This window comes from Homo sapiens, chromosome 6 (genome assembly GCF_000001405.40).
Source record: "Homo sapiens chromosome 6, GRCh38.p14 Primary Assembly".
Classification (NCBI taxonomy): Eukaryota; Metazoa; Chordata; class Mammalia; order Primates; family Hominidae; genus Homo; species Homo sapiens.
In genome coordinates, this window is record NC_000006.12 from 13,304,951 (window position 1) to 13,330,293 (window position 25,343).

The 25,343-nt window shown below is 40.6% G+C and overlaps 2 protein-coding genes and 1 long non-coding RNA gene across 10 annotated transcripts in view, besides 4 other annotated features; 1 reads left to right on the forward strand and 2 right to left on the reverse strand.

Moving 5' to 3' along the window:
• The window catches only part of TBC1D7-LOC100130357 (TBC1D7-LOC100130357 readthrough), a 62,002-nt gene extending 38,415 nt beyond the window's left edge, over positions 1 to 23,587 (reverse strand). Inside the window, exons 1-8 of one of the 2 annotated variants that reach the window (NM_001318809.2) lie at positions 23,506 to 23,587; positions 21,837 to 21,956; positions 20,144 to 20,224; positions 15,958 to 16,145; positions 11,621 to 11,758; positions 2,650 to 2,795; positions 1,448 to 1,577; positions 112 to 237 (exon numbers count right to left, since the gene is read on the reverse strand). In NM_001318809.2, coding sequence (NP_001305738.1) covers positions 151 to 237; positions 1,448 to 1,577; positions 2,650 to 2,795; positions 11,621 to 11,758; positions 15,958 to 16,145; positions 20,144 to 20,224; positions 21,837 to 21,948 — 882 coding nt within the window. In that variant the 5' untranslated portion in view covers positions 21,949 to 21,956; positions 23,506 to 23,587 and the 3' untranslated portion in view covers positions 112 to 150. The remainder of the gene's footprint in view (positions 1 to 111; positions 238 to 1,447; positions 1,578 to 2,649; positions 2,796 to 11,620; positions 11,759 to 15,957; positions 16,146 to 20,143; positions 20,225 to 21,836; positions 21,957 to 23,505) is intronic. The other variant, NR_134872.2, reaches the window with a different exon arrangement.
• On the reverse strand, positions 1 to 23,587 carry TBC1D7 (TBC1 domain family member 7). Of its 7 annotated transcripts, none has more exons than NM_001143965.4 (8): positions 23,506 to 23,587; positions 21,837 to 21,956; positions 20,144 to 20,224; positions 15,958 to 16,145; positions 11,621 to 11,758; positions 2,650 to 2,795; positions 1,448 to 1,577; positions 1 to 237 (listed from the first exon to the last, which is right to left on the reverse strand). In NM_001143965.4, exons 2-8 carry the CDS (start codon positions 21,946 to 21,948, stop codon positions 151 to 153), a joined length of 882 nt encoding a protein of 293 aa, NP_001137437.1. In that variant the 5' UTR covers positions 21,949 to 21,956; positions 23,506 to 23,587; the 3' UTR covers positions 1 to 150. The 7 variants fall into 7 exon arrangements, with proteins under 7 accessions (NP_001137437.1, NP_001305734.1, NP_001137436.1 ...); NM_001318805.2 differs by having other exon boundaries at positions 21,837 to 22,013; NM_001143964.4 differs by having other exon boundaries at positions 23,366 to 23,587.
• Positions 2,291 to 3,490: an enhancer, noted in NCBI's record as "CDK7 strongly-dependent group 2 enhancer chr6:13307473-13308672 (GRCh37/hg19 assembly coordinates)". NCBI's record gives its function as "activates an origin of replication core promoter dependent on BRD2, BRD4, P300/CBP, MED14 and CDK7 cofactors, with strong dependence on CDK7, by STARR-seq in HCT116 cells {active_cell/tissue: HCT116}" and the evidence as "EXISTENCE:reporter gene assay evidence [ECO:0000049][PMID:35650434]".
• Positions 23,403 to 23,792: a silencer, noted in NCBI's record as "silent region_16926". NCBI's record gives its function as "represses an Ori minimal core promoter by ATAC-STARR-seq in GM12878 lymphoblastoid cells {active_cell/tissue: GM12878}" and the evidence as "EXISTENCE:reporter gene assay evidence [ECO:0000049][PMID:35858748]".
• Positions 23,403 to 23,932: a biological region, named in NCBI's record as "NANOG-H3K27ac-H3K4me1 hESC enhancer GRCh37_chr6:13328608-13329114".
• Positions 23,426 to 23,932: an enhancer, noted in NCBI's record as "NANOG-H3K27ac-H3K4me1 hESC enhancer chr6:13328608-13329114 (GRCh37/hg19 assembly coordinates)". NCBI's record gives its function as "activates a minimal SCP1, AML or CMV promoter by ChIP-STARR-seq in primed H9 embryonic stem cells {active_cell/tissue: H9 hESC(primed)}" and the evidence as "EXISTENCE:reporter gene assay evidence [ECO:0000049][PMID:30033119]".
• On the forward strand, positions 23,665 to 24,907 carry LOC124901261 (uncharacterized). Its single transcript, XR_007059457.1, has 2 exons — positions 23,665 to 23,948; positions 24,775 to 24,907. It is a non-coding gene; the product is annotated as an uncharacterized LOC124901261 (long non-coding RNA).

The following is a 25,343-nucleotide window of genomic DNA, read 5'->3' on the forward strand; positions in this document are numbered from 1 at the left end:
TTTCAATTAAATAATTTTATTGGGGGAAAAAAACCACTTTGAGCACCAAAGCAAGAAAAGTGTATTATTCAATCAGTTTCCCAGATCACATGCCAAGAACACAATGCTCACTGTGGTGCCTGGCAGACGGTCCACAACCAGCGGGTGCGTTCAGCTTGAATGGACCGGGGTCCCACAGTGTTTGTGCCACAAGTCAATGGCCTTGCTCACGATCGCGTCTGAGCTGTCCTGGGGAATCTGTGGGCAAGCAAATCAGTCTTTGTGAAATTTCAGTGTTGACAACTTCAGTGTCTTCCCTCATTCGCTGTGGCATGAAATCCACTTCCATGGGAGTTTGCACTGTTTTTCAGAAAGTGACAGCATAAAAGACTTGCGTCACATGCTACCTGAGGACATGAAAGGGCTCCAGTGTCAGCCTGCCTGGGTTCAAATCCTGCACTGCTCACTAACTGTGCACCCCCGGGCAGGTTACCTAAGCTACCTGGGTTTCAGATCCCCATCTCTAAAATGGGGGAAATGATAGCCTGACTTCACAGAGCTGTTCACAGTAGGACATGAGGTAACCCATGGAAAATACTTAGCACAGGCTTCGCACTGCTAGCCACCTCTGGTTATAATGATGATTATTCATTTATTCAACGCATATTGACTCAGTACTTTATTATAATTTACCAGGCCATTTTTCAAATGTTAATACTATTTTAAAAATGAATAGATTTTGGATTCTGTGAAAATCATTCAGGCATAAGTCTCTTTAATCCTACTTCTTGCCTGGTAAAGGGTATTCCAAGATACATAGCGAGGGAAAAGTTAATTTCATTACCATTGCCTTTTTCAGCAATATACTAGGTTAATACTGTATATTAATAAACCCAACTGGGACTACACCAGAGACAGTAACAGAAATGAAATGGCTTACAAAATCCTCCAAAATACAGAACCCCTTTTGAACTGACAAAAATTACTCATTGTAAAATGACAGATCCCACCTATTCCTTTTCCTGACATGCCTGCTGATAGTCACATGGAGGATGAGACTCTGGTTCTAAGTGGACACATTCACGAGATGGTCTCAGACCATCATTTCCCAAAGACAGGATGCAAACTAACCCTCAGGCCAACTTTAGGCCAAACTTTTTCAGGGAAAAGTGTTTCTTATAATGTAAAAATACACTGTATGATTTCTCTGAAATAATCTAATGTAACAGGAAAATCTCACTTGCTAAAGTGACTTCATTTCTAGATTCAAAATCAAATCAAATTATTATTTCTCTTAAATAATTTCCCTAAAATAATCATTATTATAATTATTCTCTGAAACATTCTAAGGTATTATTTCTCTAAAATCATGTAATTATTTCTCTGAAATAATCTAATGTAACAGGAAAATCTGACTTGCTAAGGTAACTTCATTTCCAGATTCAAAATCAAATCAAAGCACACTTACATTTTCCAGAAACTTTGTTATCTTCTCTGCACTGTTCAGTGCCATAACTTTTATTTTAAAGGTTAATAAAATTTCGACAGCTACAAAAACTAGGATCTTACAGGATCCACTCACAACTTTATCCCAAACCCTACAAAAATAAGGAGATATAATCAAATTATATGAGTTTCAGAATTATGTTTAGCCTAGACATCTCAAATTACAAAATAAAATCAAATTGCTCCAATTTTATGTAAAAGCTTCAAAGAACAACTTTTATGAAATAATCACCAAAACAACAACAAAATACAGAAGCCATTTGAAATCTATTCTAGATACAATCAGCACTAGAAGGAGAAAGGAAAGTTTACTAAAAATTACTGCTCCACTAGGAATCTACCAAAATCATATTCCCTCATGTTGTGAACCTGACATTTCTGAGGAAGAAAAAGAAAATCCTAAACTAATGGTTTATATTCTGCTAATATGCCATAATGCTAATATAATTATAGCCTACTAAGGGACAACAAAAGATGTATATGAAATGGGATAAATTCAATTTCATTGCCAGTGATTCTGGGGACAGACTCCTTAAACTTCTCCAAGGGCGTAAGGAGCCAGTTACTGATCTATAACCACTCTAAAATAATAATTCTGATCATTCCTGTAACTCCTAAAAGTTGGTATTCTACTTCATACACTTAGTTACATATTATCTTATAATGTTCTCTGTGTATTGCACTGTTCAGTGCCATAACTTATTTTAAGAGTTACTGTTCTACTACATCACAAAGTCTTAATGGGTGGCACCTGGACTCCGAAATACCCAGACATGTCTGAAACTGACTGGAAGAACTTAGTCAAATCTTTGACTGCTTTCAGCTTCTTTAAAGATATCATGATGAAACTAACACTAAGATTTCTACTGGAGGAAGATTTGTCACATTTCTGGAAAAAAGGGGCTGACGCTTATATAAACTCATGGAGACCATTTGAGGTGTGACTGCTTCACAGCATCTAACGCACTGAGGGCCCTTAATTTTTCTAATTGTATATTCAAGAATAAGCAGAATCATGTGCTGTTACGGTAGCTGCTGGAGGACTGAGCTTCAAATTACTGTATTGTTCTAAAGCAAATTTATAATCTGAGGGATGACCACATGAAAGGCCAGAACTCTGCTCTAACGCCAAGCCTTCAATATGTCTTCGAAAGACCTACTTGCCTCTGTAAACTGGATTCAGGCAAACATCCCGCAAAGCACCTCTTGAACCAGAGATCATAAGGAAGTTTGGGCGCCGCGGAACACATCCTCAGATGAGTCAGCAGTCTGCCATCTTCCAGATTCAAGTATTGTTCAAACGCTTTTGGCTAAAGATTAAGCAAGAACAGAGATTATTCATTTTCTGTGTCATAACATCATCTGATATTATAGTCTCTGATGAAAAAAAAGTACATGCTGAATTCAAGGAAGTATTAGAAAACAAAACTTCAGAATTATCCAAGTCACTTGTGACACAGCAGTTTCCTAGGTCAGCCCTAACTAAAGTAACAAACCATCCAGGACTGAGGAGTTTCCCAGGACACAGGGCTCTTTCAGTGCTAAAACTGAGGCAGTCCCAGGCAAAATGGAATGGTTGGTCACCCTAATACTAACTTCACTAGCCAGATTCAACAGCCTAAGGCAAAAGTCCAAAGCAAAATTCAGTTGTTCTGAGGAGCTAAGGAAGGCCCATTATATTACTGGCTGGTCTAGAGCAGCAGATTATATACTAAGGAAAAAAGGGGGAAAGAGGAAAGGTAAAACCAAAGAAATAGAGTGGGATTAGAGTGGGGAGAGGGCATTAGGAAGAGTAAGACAAAAAGTGATGGTGATGAGAAGGGGCTGACCAGTCACTGACCATACATACACTGCCCTGGATTGAGCACCACTGTGCACCAGTGCCAAGCAGGCTCACACAACAGGGATGTCCAGAGGGTGAACTCTGTATTCAACATAAATGTGCACAAGAATTTCTTAGAATTCAAGGGATAACTCAGAGGGAACAAAGCACCTGGATTCCACTTGGTAGCCTCTCTCATGAGGTCAGGTGGCAGCCAACACTAGAAGACTGGAGAGCTAATAAAGCCAGCTCCCCAAACCTGGCCAAATCCATCTTGCATTGGCTGCTATATTTAGGCTGGCTGCTATATTTAGGGTCCACTGGCTGAGAATGGGCTCTAAGAGTCAAATCCTAAAGTCCACACTCACTATCTGCAGGAGTACAACCAGGGCCCGCATCACTTAAGCAAATGTAATGTTTATTTTACTCAATATCTATACCTCTCTGCTTCTGTTAAAGAGGAGATTCATCACCTTTACAATGTCCACTATAGTCAGAGACTGTGCTACACACAATGAATGGAGTGAAAGGTAAGAGAAAATCCCTGCCTTCAAGGAGCTTACAGCTTGAGACATACTAGTAAAGAGGTAACTACAATACACTGTAACGCTGTGATGCTATGATGGGAACAAGCACAAGATGTTGGGTACATCCAGGAGAAAATCCTAACCTGGGCTGTAGGAGGCAGAAGCAGTTTCTCAGGAGAGGTGACATTTGAGCTGACCTCTGAAGAACAGACAGGAGTTAGCCAGGCAAAGAGGGGCCCACATCATAATATCTGGTCCAGCTTTCCCCTTTCTGTTTCAGGATATCTCTTCTTCCTGTTTATCCAACCTCCCTATACTGCTCAACGGTTCCTAGAATTTCTCAATAACACTGCAGACAACTTCCCAAACAAGGAAATTTGGTTGGTTTTGCAAAGGGGATATATGCACTTTTTTCCTATTGACTTGGTTGAAAACACACACACAGAGTTATATATTATGTCTCAGAGCAAAGAAAATTTCATCCAAAAGTCAGTACAAATAATAAACAAGATGGAGATGTGTGAACATTTTAAAACTATGTATTGTCTTTTTCCTTTATCAGACAATAAGCTCACGGGGGGAAGCTACTGTATCTGTTTTGTTCACTGCTGGTTCTTCAGTACCTAGCACATCACTTGGCATGGTAAGCACTCAATATATAACTGTTGAGTGAGCAAATCAATACTGTGAATTAATATAAAGTTTTAAATACATCAATCAATATCTTAGTAATCGCTCAATATACATCTTTTTGCCAATATCTAATTAATTTCTTAACCTTTTTCCTGGTTTATTATAGCCTATTATAAGAAATCTTGAAACTCTATTAAAGAATAAAGAGGACATAGACAGCAAGTATAATCACACTCCCAATGATAACTACTGGTAATACTTAGGTTATAGAGCATCTATCCTGCATACATACAGACACACTTCTCTTTCTTTTATTAGTTGAACTCATACTGAATACACGATTTAGTATTTTGCTGTTTGCATTCAAATTGTGGACATTTTCCCAGGTTAATGAATAATCTTAAAAGGTTAATATCCCTACCTAAAGAGAGCTTTTTAAAATGGAGAAGGAAAAAAGCCAAGAACTCTATAGGGAAAAAAAATGCACCTGCCTCTTACCCATATAAAAACATGCTCAACCTTGCTTACAACAAAATAAATGCAATATAAAATTACACTGAAGTATCACTGCCTACCTATCAGAATGGCAAAAATTCAAGACTACTGACATACCATGTTGGCAAGGCTGTAGGGAAACAATCTACTGGTTGTGAGGATGGAAAAGACTATGAGCTCTATGAAGGGGAATTTGGCAATATTTAGCAAAGTAATTTATGCATTTACCCTTTGATCCAGCCAATCTATTTTCAGGGAATCCAACTCAAATATACTAGCAAACACATGAGAAGCTGCATGCACAAGTCTATTTACCTGTAACACTGTGTATAACAAACAGCAAAAGGCTGAAAACATCCCAAATAGCCAACAATAAAGACAGGTTGAATAAACTATATTCACAATAGAACAGTATGAATATATTAACCTGAGAATATTTTGTAGGCTGGGCGTGGTGGCTCACGCCTGTAATCCCAGCACTTTGGGAGGCTCAGGTGGGTGGATCACTTGAGGTCAGGAGTTTGAGACCAGCCTGGCCAACATGGTGAAACCCCATCTCTACTAAAAATACAAAAATTAGCTGGGCGTGGTGGCATGTGCCGGTGATCCCAGCTACTTGGGAGGCTGAGGCAGGAGAATCACTTGAACCTGGGAGGCAGAGGTTGCAGTGAGCTGAGATTGTACCACTGCACTTCAGCCTGGGTGACAGAGCGAGACTCCGTCTCAAAAAAAAAAAAAAAAGAATATTGTTTAAGAATATATACACAGGACAGTAGTATGAAACTATGACAGGGAATAAGGAGTATCTCTGTATACTAATATGGCATGATCTCCAGTACATAGCAAGTAAAAAGAGCAAGATGGGAAGAATGTGTACTGTATGCTACTGCTTCATCTAAGAAAGAAGGTGAATTCAAATACATATGTGTATATATATTTTTTAATGGAAGGAGCTAATATTTATATTGCCTGACCTTTTTCATACTTAGCAAATGATAGATAACATAGATGTGATTTATTATAGATAGATGTGATTTATTATAACCATAATTATGTTTTACTCCTAAACATTTTGGTTATTTTCAATATTTCTATGACCCCCATAGTCTTACTTCATGAGGACAATAAACTATACATCATCAACAGAAGGCAAAACGTGACAAAAATATGTACTTAATCACTCTGAGAGGAATTTATATTAAACTTAGCAAGAAGCTGCTAATAGTGCTTACAAAAAAAACCTCTTTAGCAGAGCTTTAAAAAACTGTGTCAATAGCAATAAAACAAAGATCACTTACTTTAATGATTAACACAATTAAGTTTGAGATGGCTTAAGAAAAACCTTCCATGCCATACAATTGAAGTTGGCCTCTATTCTCCTCGACTATGAGAGACCTTGTCAAAAAGCAGAATTCAATTTGAAAAGCTTGTAAGGAGAGAGGCTATGATGCAATCCTAGGAATCAGGATAGTATGGCAGAATAGACATATCACCACTCAGGGGCATCATTATCTTCTTTTGAGTCCATCACTGTCCATCATACACACATTTCCATAGAACTAAGCAGCAACCTAAACTGTGTGTTATAAGATAGACTAAAGATGGTTTCACTAGAGAGAAAAGTTTAAGCAAATCACTTGATGCCGAAATCAAACAGCAAGCAACACAAGGAAGTTTAGGTTTTGTATACATTCTGGATGACTTTTCTGAGAACTTCATAACTACTTAAAACTACTTGCTAGGCACTGTAATGCATACACAAAAAGAAGCCCCATTTTTAAAGATGAGGAAACGAAAGTTTAAGGGACATGAAGTGTCTTGCTGGTTCTAAAATTCATTTCTGAAAAGAAAAAGGCAAGCTCAAGAATAGCCAAGACATTTTTGAAAAAGAGCAACAATAAGAGACTTTCCTTATCAGCTATCAAAATACGCTAGAAAGTTGTATTAAATAAATCATGTGATTTGGCCCAGGAATAGACAAATACCTCAATGGAATAAAAAGGAGTCCAGAAAGAGATATAGATATAAATATAAATATATATAAAAATGTATTTATATATATATACACACACACATATATGGAAATCCAGTATATGATAAAGGTGGCATTTCAAATCCGTGGAAAAAGGATGAACTGACAAATACACCATGTAAGTGCTGTTCTACTGCTTACTAACTGAGACCTTGGTCTTACTTAACTTCTCTGTGCTTCAGTATCCTCATCTGTAAAAACAAAGATAATATGCTTGAATGAAGTGCTCACTAACAATGTAAATTTAGCACTGCCTGACATGAAGTACATTCTCAGTAATACACCAACCAGACGGGGAGAAGAGGAACAGGAGGAGGAGTGATGTGTTGGTAGAAGTAGTGGTGTTGCAGGTAAGCGTAAGAGTGAAATCCAGTATGTGTCTGATGCCAACCAAAGATAAATCCCTGACAAAGAGCTAAATTTAAAATGTTTAAGCATTTTTAAAAGTTATGAGAAAACAGGCCAGGCGTGGTGGCTCACACCTATAATCTCAGCACTTTGGGAGGCCGAGTGGGGGCAGATCACCTGAGGTCAGGAGTTCGAGACCAGCCTGGCCAAAATGGCGAAATCCCGTCTCTACTAAAAATACAAAAATTAGCCAGGCATGGTGCCACACTCGTGCCTGTAGTCCCAGCTACTCAGGAGGCTGAGGCAGAAGAATCCCTTGAACCCAAGAGGCAGAGGTTGCAGTGAGCTGAGATCGCACCACTGCACTCCAGCCTGGGTGACAGAGCAAGGCTCCATCTCAGAAAAAAAAAAAAAAAGTTAGGAGAAAACAAAAAAATATATATTTTTTTAATCTTGGGGTTGGAAAGGGCTAATTAACCAGTAAGACACAAAAAAGCAAAAAAAAAAAAAATGCTGGCAAATCTCATTGTATCAAAACCTAAAATTTTGTACAACAAACAGAAACTATTTTCAACAAACGTAAGGGATAAGGATAAATATCCAGGGTACAGTCGACCCTCATATCCATGGACTCAACCAACCATGGGCCAAAAATATTCAGGAAATAAAAAATGGATAGTTGTGTCTGTATTGAACAGACACAGATTTCTTTGTCATTATTCCCTAAATAATACAGTATAACAACTATTTACATAGCATTTACATTGTATTATGTATTATAAGTAATCTAAAGTATACAGGAAGAGATGTGTAGGTTATATGCAAATACTATTTGCAAGTCCCATTTTATGTAAGGGACTTGAACACCCATGAATTTTACTGTCTCAATGAGTCCTAGAATTAATCCCCTACAGATCCAAGAGTGACTATATACCAATAACTCTTACAAAGAAAAAAAGTCAACAAAACAATAGCCATATGCAAACATACTCAACTTCACTAGAAACTGAGGATAGGTAAATTAAAATAAGATGCCATTTCACTATCAGATGGATAAAAATGTAAGACATTGATACTATCAAGTATTGGCAATGGGGTGGAAAATGGGAAATCTCATCATCTGTTTGGTAGGAGCATAAATTGATATGGCCTTTGGATGAGCAGCCAGGCAGTTCAAATTTTAAATATGTCAAAAATAAATGAATAGATTTTAAATATGTCTCCCCTCTGCTTGAGCATCTGCTCGTAGGTACCAAGCCTAGAGAGATACGCATACACACAGGGAGCCTGGACAAGGGCATGCTTACTCTCAGTATGGATCTCTTAGGTTTAAATAGAGCAAATTTGTAACAGGAAATGCTAGGAGTAAATATTTTTTAAAAGGTGGTTCTAAATGAGTGCCTTTCAACCCTTAACTACACTTCAGAATTGCCTGGAGCTTTTAAGAAATTAGAATTCCAGGGCCCTACCTTCAGAGACTCAGATTTCACTTGTCTAGGTGGAGGAAAGGTGATGGTAATTTTTAAAAGCTCCCAGGTGGTACTAACAGGAAGTCAGGACTGAAAACTAGTGATTTGTCTAAACTGCCTTGGAAAGTTCTCCAAGGCAGTAAGTTAAAAAACAAAAATAGAACCATAGGGCCACATGTACAGTATAATACTACTTAATGTGATTAATCCCAGCACTTTGGGAGGCCGAGGGGGCGGATCACAAGGTCAGATCGAGAGCATCCTGGCTAACACGGTGAAACCCCATCTCTACTAAAAATACAAAAAATTAGCTGGGCGTGGTGGCGGGTGCCTGTAGTCCCAGCTACTCAGGAGGCTGGGATGAACCCGGGAGGTGGAGCTTGCAGTGAGCCGAGATTGCGCCACTGCACTCCCGCCTTGGCGACCAAGCGAGACTCCATCTCAAAAAAAAAAAAAAAGGAAAGGAAAATCATATCATAGATGCATGCACATAAGAGAATCTTGTAATACACACCAAGCTAATGACAAATGTTTACTTCTTAGAAGGAGAAGTAGGGAATTGCAGGGATGGGGGGTGGTTAGTCCAGGTCTAGGGAAACATGGATTCATCTGAATTGCTGAATTTCTTTTGAGAATGCATTCACCATTTATGTTACGAAAAATAAAGGATGAATTTTTAAAGAATAGCATAAACTATCAAAATGCTACTGACTTACTCGAATATTAAATAAGAAAAGCTAATTAGATCATGGTATGATATAACTGAGACCTCCTGATTTGATTAGGCAACTGACATATTTACTTAAGCTCCATTTCCAGGCTGAAATTATTTTTATTGAAATCAACAAAGTGGATCAAATTTCAAAATCTTAAAAATCAAATTTTACTTAGTTGAAATATATAAAAACTGCTCTTGTAAGTGTTCTCAGAAGCTGAAGGGTCTTGCACATTGCCTTATTAACAATTAACTGCAGTGATCCTCAATGCTCATCCAACCATCATCAGTGCCCCGCATCTCATCTTGCACCCTGTACCACAGTTACCACTTTCAGTAGAATTTTAAAAGGAAATAACCCAATGATTTAAGAAAAAAAGGTTTATTTTTATAAATGAGATAAATAAGGGGAAAAAACTAGAAAAAAAGAAAGTGGCAAAGGAAGACTAGCTTGTGCAATGCAGCAAGTACCATTCAGTTCTCTGCCTTCCCAAGCCAGGCTATGACAGAAACAGCTTGCTGCCTGCCACACTCCCATGTGCCCCTCCTATGTCACTCACAGAGCCCCTGTTTTAGTAGGAGATCACACAGCTTTTTTTAAAAAAAGAACCTTTCCCAGCCTCTACTGCAGACAGGGCAGCCAAGTGACACAGTCCTGGTCACTAACATATAGTTGACCCCTGAACAACATGGGTTTGAATTGCAAAGGTCCCCTTAAACATGGATTTTCTTCCACCTCTGCCAACCCCTGAGACAGCAAGACCATCCTTCCCTCCCTCCTCCTGCTCAGCCTACTCAACGTGAAGACAATGAGAATAAAGACCTTGTGATGATCCACTTCCACTTCATAAATAGAAAACATATTTAATTTTCCTTATGATTTTCTTAACATTTTCTTTTCTCTAGCTTACCTCATTACAGGAATATACTGAATACACATATAACAAAATATGTGGCTGGGTGTGGTGGCTCATGCCTGTAAATCCCAGCACTTTGGGAGGCCAAGGTGGGCGGATAACCTGAGGTCAGGAGTTCAAGACCGGCCTGACCAACACGATGCAACCCCGTCTCTACTAAAAAAGATACAAAAATTAGCCAGGTGTGGTGGCAGGCACCTGTAATCCCACTTACTTGGGAGGCTAAAGCAGGAGAATCATTTGAACCCAGGAGGCAGAGGTTGCAGTGAGCCGAGACCATGCCATTGCACTCCAGGCTGGGCGACAGCATGAGACTCCATCTCAAAAAAACAAAAATGGAAACAAAATATGTGTACAAAATATGTGTTAAACAACCATCTATGTTATCAGTAAGGCTTCCAGTCAACAGTAGGTTATTAGTAGTTAGGTTTTGGGGGAGTCAAAAGTTATATGCAGAGTATCAACTATGCTGGGGTTGGGTCAGTTCTCCTAAACCTACACTACTCAAAGGTCAGCTGTACATGCAGAGGGAAAGCCTAATGGGCCACAGTTGTGGCTGGCTTGTCCCTCTTATTCCTTTGTGTTTACCTTTGCCTTCCCTTTCCTTCTGCCTAGAACACAGACGTCATGGCCGCTGGTCCAAGAGCAACCTTGTGAGCACGAGAGGAAAGATCATTCCTATGAATACTGGAGCAGAATGGCAGCAGTCTGCAACCCTCTCCATACTGTGGTTCTGCAGCGCCAGCTCTGCACTGCCTGGATTCTTAGCTTCTGGTATTTGGGCTTCCCATTATATGCAGCCAAATGAAAACCTTAACTTACACAGAGGGATTACTCTAGACCAGCGGATTCTAGACCAGAATAAGGAATACTATAGAGCAGGACTGGCCACCTCTGGCCTGCAGCAGAGCAAATCCAGCCAGGAACATTATTTTATGCGTTGCCTAAGGTTGCTTTTGTGCAACAACAGCAGAGTTGAGTGGTTACAATAGAGACCATCTGGCCCACCAAGCTGGAAATATTTAGATTATATGGACTTTTACAGAAAACGCTTGCTGAGTTCTACTATAAAGGGTTATTCAGAATTGCAGCAGCCCCAGGAGGTAAGAGCACTCCCTGAAGACCCCCACTACCATTGTTCACTCTCCAATAGCCAAAAAAAAAAAAAAGCCCTCACCAACTGGGGCAAGGAATCCCGGTACTTGGTATTTAATTGGTTCACAAAGCGTCGGGTGATCCAGTAACAGTCGACACTATCTTCCACCATTTCCTCCATGGCTTTAGCTATGGCAAGAAACACTTCATCATCTGGCTCCTGAAAGATTAATAATAAATCTCAAGAGGAAGGCAGTGAAAGAGAGGAATACATATTTCTTTAATAAAAAATGAAACCTTGCTCCCTAAATTTTGAAAAGGCTACATTAATAAATCAAAGTAGGATCAAAAAGCACAGAGTCCCTCCCTGAAGAGGGGAGCAAGGGGGAGAAAAAGATGAGTAACTACAGGGTCAGTGCTGCTTATGAATGACCAGGTTTCAGGCTGAGTGTACAGACACTCCCCAGCTTCTAACATTAAGCCCCTCACAGAGTCAACATAAATCATAAGCAAGTCACTGACTCTCTCCACCCAAAAATATTCTCAGTACTAGGTGAGGATATCTTTGAAAAGGGTGTAATAAACAGCACCATCAGTAACTGGAGACATTTTTCAGCACAGTAATTTGCAAATATTGAAGAGCTCCAAAAAGACTAATAAAGCATTTGCTTTATTTCAAAGCATTCACGCATACCTTCAGAATTTTGTTCTATCTTAAGCAGTACAAAAGTTAAAATGTTCCTAGAATCAGAATTTTAGGAATCAAAAGAATGGCATTTCTCAAACCTTGTGTCAATACTCAGAATGCGAAAGTAAACTCTCAGGTAAATTTCAACAGAGAAATCTTAGAAAAACCGGGACCTTATTTGAAAACCTCTTCTGCTTTCAAACACCATATCATATACAAAAAGCTTTACATTTTCATCTAGGATTTAATAGCTGAAGGATTTTAATGTTAAAAAGAAACTAAGAAGTATCACACTTTCCCTTAAAAAGTACCGACTTAAATCAAAATTGTTATTTTAATGTATTATTTCATTCTAAGCCCTTCTTTCAACTTGTTAATATTCTATAAAATGTCAAGAAAAACATAATTTAAATCATAGGGAATAAGTTTTCTCAAAACATTTTATTAATGTGTCAAAGGAGAATGGAAAATAAGTAGGAAGAAAAGGGAAAGGAAAATCTCCTTTCTTGGACTCCCGTGCAGTTCTGTGCACTGTGCTTGGCACCCCGAAAGGTGGCATATCACTGACTGCTCCTGACCACTGACAGGTCAAGGGAAGAGGACCCATGTCGTCCTTCCTGGCCCTGTGATGAGCACTGCTGCACCCTCTTATTAATGGATTAAAAAATGAGGCAGAGTGGGCGCTAAGTAGGTGCTACGGTTCAAATATCTGTCCCCTCCGAAACTTATGTTGAAATTTAATCCCCATTGTGGCAGTATTGAGAAGTGGGGCCTTTAAGAGGTGACTGGATCATGAGGGCTCTGCCCTCATCAGTGGGTCAATTCATAGATTAATGGGTTATCACAGGAACGGGACTGGTGGCTTCCTAAGAAGAGGAAGAGAGTCCTGGGTGAGCACGTTGGCACGTTCAGCCCCCTCACCATGTGATAGCCTGTGCCACCTCAGGACCCTGCAGAGAGTCATCAGCAAGAAGGCCTTCACCAGATGTAGCCCCTGAATCCTGGACTTCCCAGCTTCTAGAATTGTAAGAAATAAATTCCTTTTTAAAATAAATTATCCGATTTCAGGTATTCTGTTATAAGCAATCAAAAACAGACTAATACAATGAGGATCATGACTGGGAGACGTGGGATGGCAGAGTCCAAAACACACACTCAGAAGCACGTCTGCCTGAGGCTGCAGTAAAGGTGTCTCAGCTTGGAACACAGACAAGCTGAGTAGCGGTGAGGCGGAACCTATACCCTGTCATCTCAATTCCTAATCTAATTTAATTTGATATATAATTTAAGAACTTGTGTAGTACTATCAACTTCACTTTGCCAATAAGTGAAATTTAAAGATGATTGCTTAAATTATTCCAATTATTTTTTAGGGACCTTCTCTCTCGATAAACGTAAGAAATATAAATGATCTTTATTAGCTCTAAGGTTTGTCCATGGATACCTCATCATTAACGTCAAAAAAAATTAGATCTGCAATAAAAATAAATTTTGTAAAATAGGAGTGTTCCAGCAAATCCATTTGAACAATTCACTGTTTTAGCCAAACAAATAACACTTTAATTTCATACTGATATAAATAAAGAAGGAGAAGGGAAAACTCTTCCTTAGAGAAGAATGCCAACTAATACATGCAGAAAGAATGAAGGAGTTAGATCACCATTTGGCAATCAGCATAGTAAAAATTGGTTCAGGCAAGAATCATTAGTGGATGGCTACTTACAAGTCTCAAAGTACTTCTCCACAGTTATTTATTAATTACAAAGAGGAAAATAGTAACCTTACAGTGGAGAAACTCCACAGACACCATCTTACCCAAGTGATCAAAGTTAGCAGCACAGTAATGAGTCCCATACTTCTGTGATATTCCTGCCAATAATGCGTGACCAGAGTTTAATCATGGAGAAACATGAGACAGACCCAAATTGAGAAATGCTCTACTGGCCAGGGCTCTTCAAAAGTGTCAAGGTCATGAAAGACAAAGACTGAAGAACTGTTCCAGGCCAGGCACAGTGGCTCACGCCAGTAATCACAGCACTTTGGGAGGCCAAGGCAGGTGAATCACCTGAGGTCGGGAGTTCAAAACCAGCCTGACCAACATGGAGAAATCCCATCTTTACTAAAAATACAAAAATTAGCCGGGAGTGGTGGTGCGCACCTGTAATCCCAGCTACTCTGGAGGCTGAGGCACAAGAATTGCTTGAACCCAGGAGGCAGAAGTTGCGTTGAGCCAAGATCGCACCACTGCACTCCAGCCTGGTCAAAAAGAGAAAAACTCTGTCTCAAAAAAAAGAAAAAAAAAAAAAAAAAAAGAACTCTTCCAGATTAAAGACTAAGACGTGGCAGCTAAATGTAATGTGTGATCCGGAACTGGATCTTGGATCAGAAGAAGAGCATCAGTGGGACATCAGCAAAATCCCAGTGAGGCCTACAGAGTAGCTGTCAGTATTGTGATTCTCCGGTTTTGATCATTACATTACGGTTGTATGAGATGTAACATTTGAGGACACTGGGTGAAGGTATTTCAGAACACTGCACTATTTTTGCAACTTTTTTCTACATCCAACATTATTTAAAAAGTTAAAAAATAAAAATTTTTTAGAAATCGTCAAATGAGAATACTCATGAGCAAAAGTTTAATAAGGAATAGGATGTTTACATAGCAGTTTTAAAGTGTCTCCCCACAAAGAGAAATAGCAATTACAAAGGGAAAAGTAAAAACTTTCCAGCGGAAAACTCCAGCAGGCAGCACCCTCGCCAAGTGATCCAAGTTAACACTACCTCTTATGGGGCAAATTCACACTATGTGCCTCCTGATAAGAGACACTGAGAAGGACACAGCATCACCTACTTGGTATCCCTGCCAAAAATGAATAACCTGAATCTAATCAGGAGGAAACACCAGACAAACCTAAAGGGAGGGGCTTTCTTCAAAGCATCTGATTATGCCCTTCAAAAATGTCAAAGGCATGAAAGATAAAAAAAGACAGAACTGTCCCAAGTCAAAGGAGACTAAAGCAATATGATAACCCAGTGCAATGCCTAAACCAGGATCCAGTCCTCACCCAGAACTTTGACCGTTTGATTATTTGTGAAGGCATTATTGGTGAAATTCAAATGGAGCTGGTAGATTACGTTAATATTGTATCAATGTTAATGTCTTAGTTTTGAGGACTGTACTATGGCTATCTACAGGGGTGTCCTGTCTTTAGGAAGTGTACACTGAAGGAATCTGAGGTAATAGGGAATCCTGTCTGCATCTTACTCTCAAATGATTTAGGAAAAAAAAAATGTGTTTAAAAAAATACGTTTTAAAACAACAAAGCAAAACAGATGCACACAAAGCAAAACAGATGCTTAAAGCTACTTAGCACCTACAATTTTTTATTTTTTAACTTTTTAAATAATGTTGGATGTAGAAAAAAGTTGCATAATGTTAACAACTGGAGAATCTGGGTAAAGGGTATATGCAAATTCTTGGTAGTATTCTTGCAACTTTTCTGGAAGTTTGAAATTACTTCAAAATAAAACGTATTTTAAAAAAACAAAAAGTAAGAAGGTTGGGTCAGAATGTGCATGGCCATGAATGCCAAGTAAAGATGTGTCACTTTTATTCTAATAACAACAGGGAGCCACCAAAAGTTTTTAAGGCAAAACATGATGTAATCAAAGGCCGGCAAGATGGGACGGTCTAGAGTTGAGCTTAGTGTCAGACAAAAGTGACCACTAACCAGTGGAAAAGAGGGACTTCGAGGTAACTTCCCAGACTCCAGCTGATACATGCGGAGATAGACTTCAGCCTGAGGTGTGGCATCACTAACAAAGCGAACGACTTTCAGGGCATGAAGGACATCCAAGTACTGCTCCTTACGATACATCATCACCTTGGCATGGGACTCGTGGTGTGGAGGCAAGATTCCTAGAGAGAACAGGAAAAACGAAAAAAGGACAAAATACTGAGCCATCACTCCAAATCCCTCATCTATGAAAGAGGATGCCGTGAGAAGCGACCCACACAATTAGGCTAGAATTCACGCAGACATTCAAGTACCATGTAGAATCTCTTTTAGAAATTCTCACTATAAAACAATCTTAAATGTGAAATATTATCAATGTTTGAGTGCTGATGCATCACTGATATGAGAGAGAAATGAAACAACACTGGCAAAGCCCTTGAATAAGTATGCCGCATACATTCAAGATTAGCAACCACATCAATCCTAACAATGGTTTAACTTAATTTATGGCAGCCTCAGGCTGCCTTTAGCTCCTAGAGGTCTCACCCTAGTCTTTGTACTTGGCCCCTACATCTCAGAACCACCAACAGCCCATTGAATTCTTCTCTTCCCCAACAGTTAAAACTTGCTCACTAAGTATCCTATCCTCCAGGTCACAAAAGTCCTTAATCTTCATTGGTGAGGTCACCTTACAGGACATTTCTATGACATATTAAGCTCCTTAACCCATTTAAACATGGTGTCATATCTTTTTTACAAACAAATGGCTCTGAGGAAACACAGTGGAAAGACCACTAGACAGACCAGCCATCCTGGGTTCTAGCCTCGGACTGGATAATACTAGGACTCTGAAATGTGTCTTTCTGGGCACTTGTTTTCCCCACCTGCCAGAGGCAGGAAATGGGATAAGCATTTCACCAAATGCTTCTCCACAGAATGCTAACCCCAAGAGAAAAAAAAATGCCCTCATCAAACAGATTTGGGAAATGGTGACAATGAATTTTCATGGCACTAAGTTTTGCCATAAAGAAAAACATTTTAGGCCAGGTATGGTGGCTAACGCCTATAATCCCAGCACTTTGAGAGGCCAAGGCAGGCAGATCACTTGAGCCCAGAAGTTCAAGACCAGCCTGGGCAACTGGGTGAAGGTATTTGGGAAACCCTGTCTCTACAAAAAATTAGCCAGGTCCAGTGGCACATGCCTGTAGTCCCAGCTACCCGGGAGGCTGAAGTGGGAGGCTGAGGTGGGAGGATCACCTGAGCCTAGGAAGTCAAGGCCATAGTGAGCTGTGATCGTACCACCGCACGCCAGCCTAGAAAACAGAGTAAGACCCTGTCTCAAAGAAAAAAAAAGAAAAAACAAAACAAAAAAAAACATTTTATTTACTCAAGCCTCATTAAACTTAATGAGGCTCTACAGAAGTACAGACTCTGGAGCAAAGTTCCTGGGTTTAAATTCCAGCTCTACAATTAACTGGCTGGGTGGTGACCTTTAGCAATTACTTTATCTCCTATGTCTTAGCTTCCCCATCTGAAAAATGGGAATAACAATATCTAATATCATACAGTTGTTGAGATGAATAAACAAATCAACACACACAAAGCATTCAGAAGAGTACTCAGCAAACACTAAGCTGTATAAGTGTTAGCTAGTACATTTGACTATGAATCCCTCTTTGGTGCAAAATGCCACAGGTTTAGTATTCTAAAGAACACCCCAGAAAACAAAAACAATAGTAGCTAACATGATACCAGTTAATGTTAGAAAAAAAACTTGCTTAAATGTTCTTTTCCCTGAAAGAAATCTTTACTCATGCTATGAGACTGTGTGCCAGGCTTCCAGAAAAGCCAAGGGAACACACTAAAGTGTCTCCTACATCTCGGCTAATACAGCTTAAACAGCTGTGACCAAACCCTCATCACCCTGCTAGAGGCAGCACATTAACCCTTAAACCTGTTTTCTAAGAGCTAGTCCTAAAATGTCTCTTTTTGATATTTAACTAAAATAGTATCAGGAAGTAGGCATTTGAAGTAAAGATCCCTAAGTAATCAAAACTCTGTGCTGGGAAGAGTCAGGCTGTGTCCTACACAGGCGACAGCTCTAAACTTCCAGTGCCTTGTCCTCAAAAAATAACTATGACATGATAAAGAAAGGTGGGCCGAGCGCGGTGTCTCATGCCTGTAATCCCAGCACTTTGGGAGGCCGAGGCAGGTGGACTGCCTGAGCTCAGGAGTTTGCGACCAGCCTGGGCAACACAGTGAAACCCCATCTCTACTAAAATACAAAAAATTAGCCGGGCGTGGGGGTGCGCGCCTGTAGTCCCAGCTACTCGGGAGACTGAGGCAGGAGAATCGCCTGAACCCGGGAGGCAGAGGTTGCAGTGCTGAGATCGCGCCACTGCACTCCAGCCTGGGTGACAGAGCAAAACTCTGTCTCAAAATAAAAAAATTAAAAAAAAAGAAAGAATGGTTAAGAAGAGTAGAAGTGAGGAATAAGCCAGATAGGCTGTAGCACTCAAGAAGTGAGGGAAAGCACAACTGCACAACTCCCATTAATCCACTGCAGTTATTAATAGACACACAGCACCTCCCATAAATCGACACTGTTGACATTACCACTTAAAATGTACCCCAGAAGGCACGGAGAACAGTAACATTTAAAGAAAAGTGCTCTGGGAAAAACTAAAATAGTTGTCACCGCTTCTCCAGATTGTAACTGCACGTTGACCTACCAGACATAAAAGTGCACAGAGACTGCCAGGATGAACAAGAAACAAGTCATTCTGCAGGCCTTCCTAGTACCGCTTATATTCCCTCGCTGCCTCCATATTACATAACCAGACAGGGCTGCAGGCTTCTCAAGCCCTGAAAAGATACTACATTTTGGAAAGAAAATGAGGTCCACAATCTATCTTACCTTCAAATGAGTTCCACAAACGTAAGCTCAAATCCTAGCTCTGCCACTTACAGGCTATAATGCCTTAGGCAAGTTACTTAGCCTCAGAGAGTCTTTTCCCCATCTGCAAAATTAGGATACCAATACCTGCCTCACAGGGATTCTAGGATTACTCTGTATAATCTATGTAAACTACTCAGCCTACTGACAGGCATACAGGGATGCCCAATAAGGAGCAATCATAGTTTATATTCTTCAGGGAATTTAGTACTCGCCACTATCTTACAGTGAACAAACTGTAAGTTTTTTTTTGTTTGTTTTTTGTTTTTTTTTTTGGAGACGGAGTCTCGCTCTGTCGCCCAGGCTGGAGTGCAGTGGTGCCATCTCGTCTCACTGCAACCTCTGCCTCCCGGGTTCAAGCGATTCTCCTTCCTCAGCCTTCCAGGTAGCTGGGACTACAGGCGCATGCCACCATGCCCAGCTGATTTTTTGTATTTTTAGTAGAGAGGGGGTTTCACCCTTGTTGGCCAGGATGGTCTCAATCTCCTGACTGCGTGATCTGCCCGCCTTGGCCTCCCAAAGTGCTGGGATTCCAGGTGTGAGCCACCGCGCCCAGCCAAAAATACTTTTTTTAAGAAAGAAAAGGAGGATGGTAATGGATAGGAATTATATGCTCCAGCAGGCTCAGCAATGATAGGGGAAAGAAAATCTTGGGCTCAAAAGGGATGCTGCCAGTTACTCATGGCACTTAATTCACATTTTCTTCCATAGAAACTAAGTAAGATCAGTTTTCCTTCTCACTCAGCCACTCGCACCACTGGAATTTAGTCATTCACACTTCTAGGGAGTAGTAAGTCTCCAATTCCTCTTTGACAGATTAGGAAGTTATACCTCTATAGCTGAGAATCACAAAATCTTACAAATTTAGAGCTAAAAACTAGGAGTAATTTAGCTCAAAAGCTTCAGTTTATAGATGCAAAAAATGAGTCCCAGAGGGGTCGCCTTCCTCCAGGTTACCCAGCTGATAGCAAAGCCTAAACCAATTCTCATTTCTCCTACTCCAATGCTCTTCCCAGATCTTGTCTCAGGAACATAAACTATTTTCTCTTCTATAGTATCATTAATAGAACAGAAAATAATGAGTGGTAATTGAACCTCCTGGGGAAGATCCAATATTCAGTAAAAGGCCTAAACAAATTCTCCTTTTTCTGACTGATAAGATAGCAAATGATCCCTTCATTCAATATTTTTTAAGATAAATCTTCCAACTCCTGGGTCTCATACCTAGAAGCACCTTCCATACCAATGCACGGTACATGGACGGGAGAGGGAACCTCTGACTAAAAGTACAAAGTTTCTCAGTATCTAGAGGAAGAAGAAAACAATTGTTAGAAGCTTTTCATGCTGATCACAGTATGTCAAGGCACATTTCATTTTTTAAAACTCAAAGAATAGTTAAGACATTTCTTCAGGGGAAGTCTACCATATGGTCAGTAAGTTTAGGAGAGGCAATACTAGTCTGATTTCTAGCCCAAGACTTCTGCCAACTAAGTTATTTAAAAACAATTTGCGGCCAGGCACGGTGGCTCATGCCTGTAATCCCAGAACTTTGGGAGGCTGAGGCAGGCAAATCACTAGAGGTCAGGAGTTTGGGACCAGCCTGGCCAACATGGCAAAACACCATCTCTACTAAAAATACAAAAATTGGCTGGGTATGGTGGCACACACCTGTGATCCCAGCTAGTCAAGAGGCTGAGACAGAAGGATCGCCTGAACCCAGGAGGCAGAGGTTGCAGTGAGCCAAGATCGTGCCACTGCACTGCAGCCTGGGCAAGAGTGAGACTCTGTGTTAAAAATAATAATAAAAATAAAAACAATTTGCATTTTACAGCATTGGAGATGCATTTTGCATATATTACTACATTCCCTATAACAGTGGTAGTTATTAATCACAGGGTTTATTTAATTCACACTGCAAGCCTGTTAGGTAGTTCTTGTTCTAAAAATGCAGAAACTGAAGTTCAAAGCAGTTAAATGACTTGATCAAACTAACATAGCTATTAAGTGGTACAGTCTGCCTTCAAATCCCTACATTTTCCAATAAATTACAGTGACTTCCCTGACCCTCAATTCCTCTACTTATCAAAGGAGAATACCAGACATACTAAAGCAAAGACCGCACAATTGAAGATCAAAGATAAGGTGAGAAATGTTTCAGAAACTTTAAAAGTACTCTATGCAAATAAAGTATTATCTTTAACTACGGTTCAGTTTATTTTACTTTAGTCAACAACAGACCTTATTCAGACTGGCTCAAACTAAAATGTCAATATACAATGCACTCTTAGTATTTCCATAAAAGAAAATCATGGGCTGGGCATGGTGACTCCTGCCTGTAATCCCAGCACTTTGGGAGGCCGAGGTGGGTGGATCACTTGAGGTCAGGAATTTGAGACCAGCCTGGCCAACATGGTGAAATCCTGTCTCTACTAAAAATACAAAAAATAGCCAGGCATGGTGGCACATGCCTGTAATTCCAGCTACCTGGGAGGCTGAGGCAGGAGAATCACTTGAACCCAGGAAGTGTAGGTTGCTGTGAGCCAAGATCACACCACTGCACTACAGCCTGGGCAACAGAGTCAGACTTGGTCTCAAAAAAAAAAAAAAAGAAAATCATGACCAGAGTTATCGCAAATTTACCCAGAAGCAAATTTACCTAGATAATACATGAAAACATATGGGTTCAATAAAAGAAAAAAATACTACTGACTTTCTTAAGAAACCTTTCAAAAACTTCTGACGCTCAGTGAAATATAAATTTGAAAAATCTTTTCTCAAAATACACCATTCTGCTTCACCACATCACTAAAAAATACAGCAAGTAACCAATGCTTCTGGATGTCTTTTAAGAAAATATTTACTTCAGAACATGTGGAGTGATTGAGAACCAATGAGATTAATTTTTAAAAGTACTCACCCAGACGGTCATCTTTTAGGAGAATTTCTAATGATTTCTTTTCTTCAACTCCACGAAACCCCACTTTCTCATAATATACTGAACGAAAGTTTCTCTGAGAGTCCTCAGTCATATTTCATTCTTGGAGGAGACACAGAAAGACAGAAAGGGAGAGAAAGACGAAGGGGAAAAGTGAGTCTAGAAACAAAGAGTCAAGAATTAGAATAATTTTCAATGATGTTCTCCACCTTTTCAATATGATGTACCCTTGCATAGGACCCAATATTAAATTTTTCCTTTAACTCAGTTCTGCAACTATCTCACCTATGCATCTTGGCTAAAAACCAAGATATAAGTTAAAAGTTCTCTGAGCTGATAAAATAGATGGCACAAGGTTTATGCACTAGGTTTCCCACTATACCTATGAGTGCCTAGCACAATAGAACATTCTGTAGCTATTATAAATGCGCAAAGAAAAAAAATAAGTGAAATGGAAGCCAGGCAAGATACGTCAAGCAAATTATACTCAAACAGTATACACTATGATTTCATTTTTTGTTTTTTACAAATTTCATGTATTTTAAAACTTAACACTCTATTCCAAAATGTTAGCAATGGTTATCTTTAGATAGTAGGATTCTAGATGATTTTAATTTCCTTTCTTTTGCTTAGCTACTTTTTTTTAAATGGGCATTTTGTAAAATGAAAAATTAAGTTATATAAAAGTAAAAAGCCACGAGTTCCTCACTTATCTTTCTTTTAAACACAATTCTATTAAGTGTAGCTATCGAAATTCAAAACCCACAACAAATAAATCGCATTAAATTATAACTAGAAGAGGGTAAAGAATGTAGCCAATTGACAGTGATCCCAAAGTCAGAGTTGAAGACGGAAAAACGATTTAAAATCTACCGCAAGAACTCAAAAAGTTCAGTGGTCTCAAGTTCCTTCACAGTAACCTTCATAATACTGGCGGTAATTCATCCAAAAAAAGACCAAGTTAGATTTGGCGTTTCAAGAACAGAAAAGATCTGATGCATTTCCCAAAAAGCACTGCACTGCCTCACCCAAATGCTTCCAGCGTCTGTGCACAAAAGAGTAAATCTTTAGGTTTAAAAACCCTGCGACGTCCCCAGTGAGCAGGGGAGGGCTTCCTTCCTTATTGAAAAGATATCCTCTGAACCGATTCAGTCACAGGAAAGATTAGGATTCGTTTAGAAAATGAAATGCTAAAGGGCTCTGAGCTTTCGGGAGCAGATGTCTTAAAAATAAAAAAGTCAGCAGCATAAAACGCGTAATGAGTGTGGGGATTTATTTTTTTAAAGCATCCAAACAGCTGCATGACGATTTGGTCGGTCCCTGTTGTCTAAGGACACCCATTCTTAGATTGCACTACAATGACAAAGGCGTCCTCTAGGAGGAAATGCTGCAAATAATATCTCCTGCCCATGCGCGTCCACCTGATGGGAAAAGTAAAAACACCCTGGTCCAAGACCCCAGGTCCCATTCTCTCTATGATGGATGCTTCACCTCTAGTAGTGCAAACACACCCGGGTTGAGACTAAGTGGTCCGGGAGAAGCAGAGGAAGCCGTGCCCTGTGCGCTGACCGACCGCCGGGCAGGCGGGCACCGTTGGGGCCCAGGGCCAGGAGGGACGAGTCCTGCGGGAAGGAGGGAGGCGGCGGGGTACCTGGGACACCCGCGCGCGCCCAGACGGCCCGGGAGACAAAACTCAGCGCCGCTGCCGCTGCCGCTGCCGCCGCCGCCGGACGTGACATCAACTCCAGGTCGCCGGGCGGGCGCCGGGCGGGCGCATGCGCAGAGGGCGCGGGCAGGAAGCTCCACCCTCACTCCAGGAAGCTCTGGCTTCGTTTGTGAAACCCGACGGGATGAAGGGCTAGGCTCGCCTCCAGAGTAGTGTAGTTTCTCCCGCCGTGGGCACCCGGCCCCTTGCTACCCCGCAAAATCTCGCGACCATTTACTCTGGCCATCCGAAGGCGCGTGCCTGGGTTGCACTCCCGTGTCCGGCCCTCGAGGTTCTTGCCTAGGGAAGACCCGAGCCCTAGGGCCGTACTTAAGCTGCCTGCGTGCAGGACCCGGGTTTTGCTTTTGCTAATTTCCTCCCCACCCCAGGTATGTGGGAATAGATGAAGACCATCCGAATGAGAAGAAAAAAGGCAGGCAGAGGAGTGCAAGTCTGATTTAGAGCAGGCAGGCTCCCTGGGTTGGTTATTGTAGGTAACTGACTGGTTTTCTGGGCAGGTTGCTGCAGGTTGTGGATTGGAGGTCTATTTTTATATTAGATTTGGCCATTGTCTTAGTATATTCAGCCTCTCAGGTAAAACACTATAACATAGGAGAAAAATGAACGTGTTTTTTTTTTAAAAAAAGATGTGCTAAATGCAAGCTCCTAATTTGTTATTAGTAGGTCTAACAGAACAGAGTTACTCTTTAAAGTAGCTACTAACACTTACAAATGCTTTCTATTTCTGTGCTTGCCTCCCTGGTCCTCGGGCTGGCTGAGCAGCAGTGCCCAAGTAGGTTTTTAAACCGCCAGGGTTTGAGAGAAATCCCCAATGATGGGTATCGTCCCTTTGAAAGTTCAAATCTCTACCAAATAAGCCACACGGATGCCAAGCTTTGAAGGAAACTTAGGACTATCAACAGTGCAGAAGTCCAGTTATAGTGCAGACAAATGTGTGTATAATGGCTAGACAGAACTTAAAAATGAAGAAACGTGTGGTGGTTGAACTCAAACACTGATGCCCCTCCCCACTCCCTTACCACCACCATCTTTAGTTCCTCAGTACTGGGGTACTAAACCTTCCTTGGGTAGTGTTCACATGAGTAAGCAGAGTTCTTCAAGTTACCTTACACAAGTTCCATTTACTTCATCTAAACCTTGGGCCGGTCACTAACTTTTATAATTGCCTTTTCTTGTCTTTAAAATCATCACCAGGGCTGGGCACTTACTGTGTGCAGGCGCTGTTCTATGGACTCAGGATACATCAGCTACCGAAGCAAAGATCCCTAACCTTGTGAAACTGACATTCTGGTGGGAGGACAGATCCAATAAAAACTAAAATAAATAAGTCAATGATGTAGTGTGTTAAAAAGTGATCGGTGCTGGCTGGGCGCCGTGGCTCATGCCTATGATCCCAACACTTTGGGAAGCCGAGGCAGGCGGATCACCTGAGGTCAGGAGTTCGAGACCAGCCTGGCCAACATGGTGAAACCCTGTCTCTAGTAAAAATACAAAATTAGCTGGGTGTGATGGCACACACCTGTAATCCCAGCTACTCTGGAGGCTGAGGCAGGAGAATCGCTTGAACCCGGAAGGCAGAGGTTGCAGTGAGCTGAGATGGTGCCGCCGCACTCCAGCCTGGGCAACGAGAGAAATTCCATTTCAAAAAATATTAATAATAAAATAAAATCATCACCAATGGTGATTATATAGAAGGTGGGAAGGGTTAAATGAGAAAGTATGTAAAGTGCTTGGCATGGTGCCTGGCATGTGGCACAGTAGGG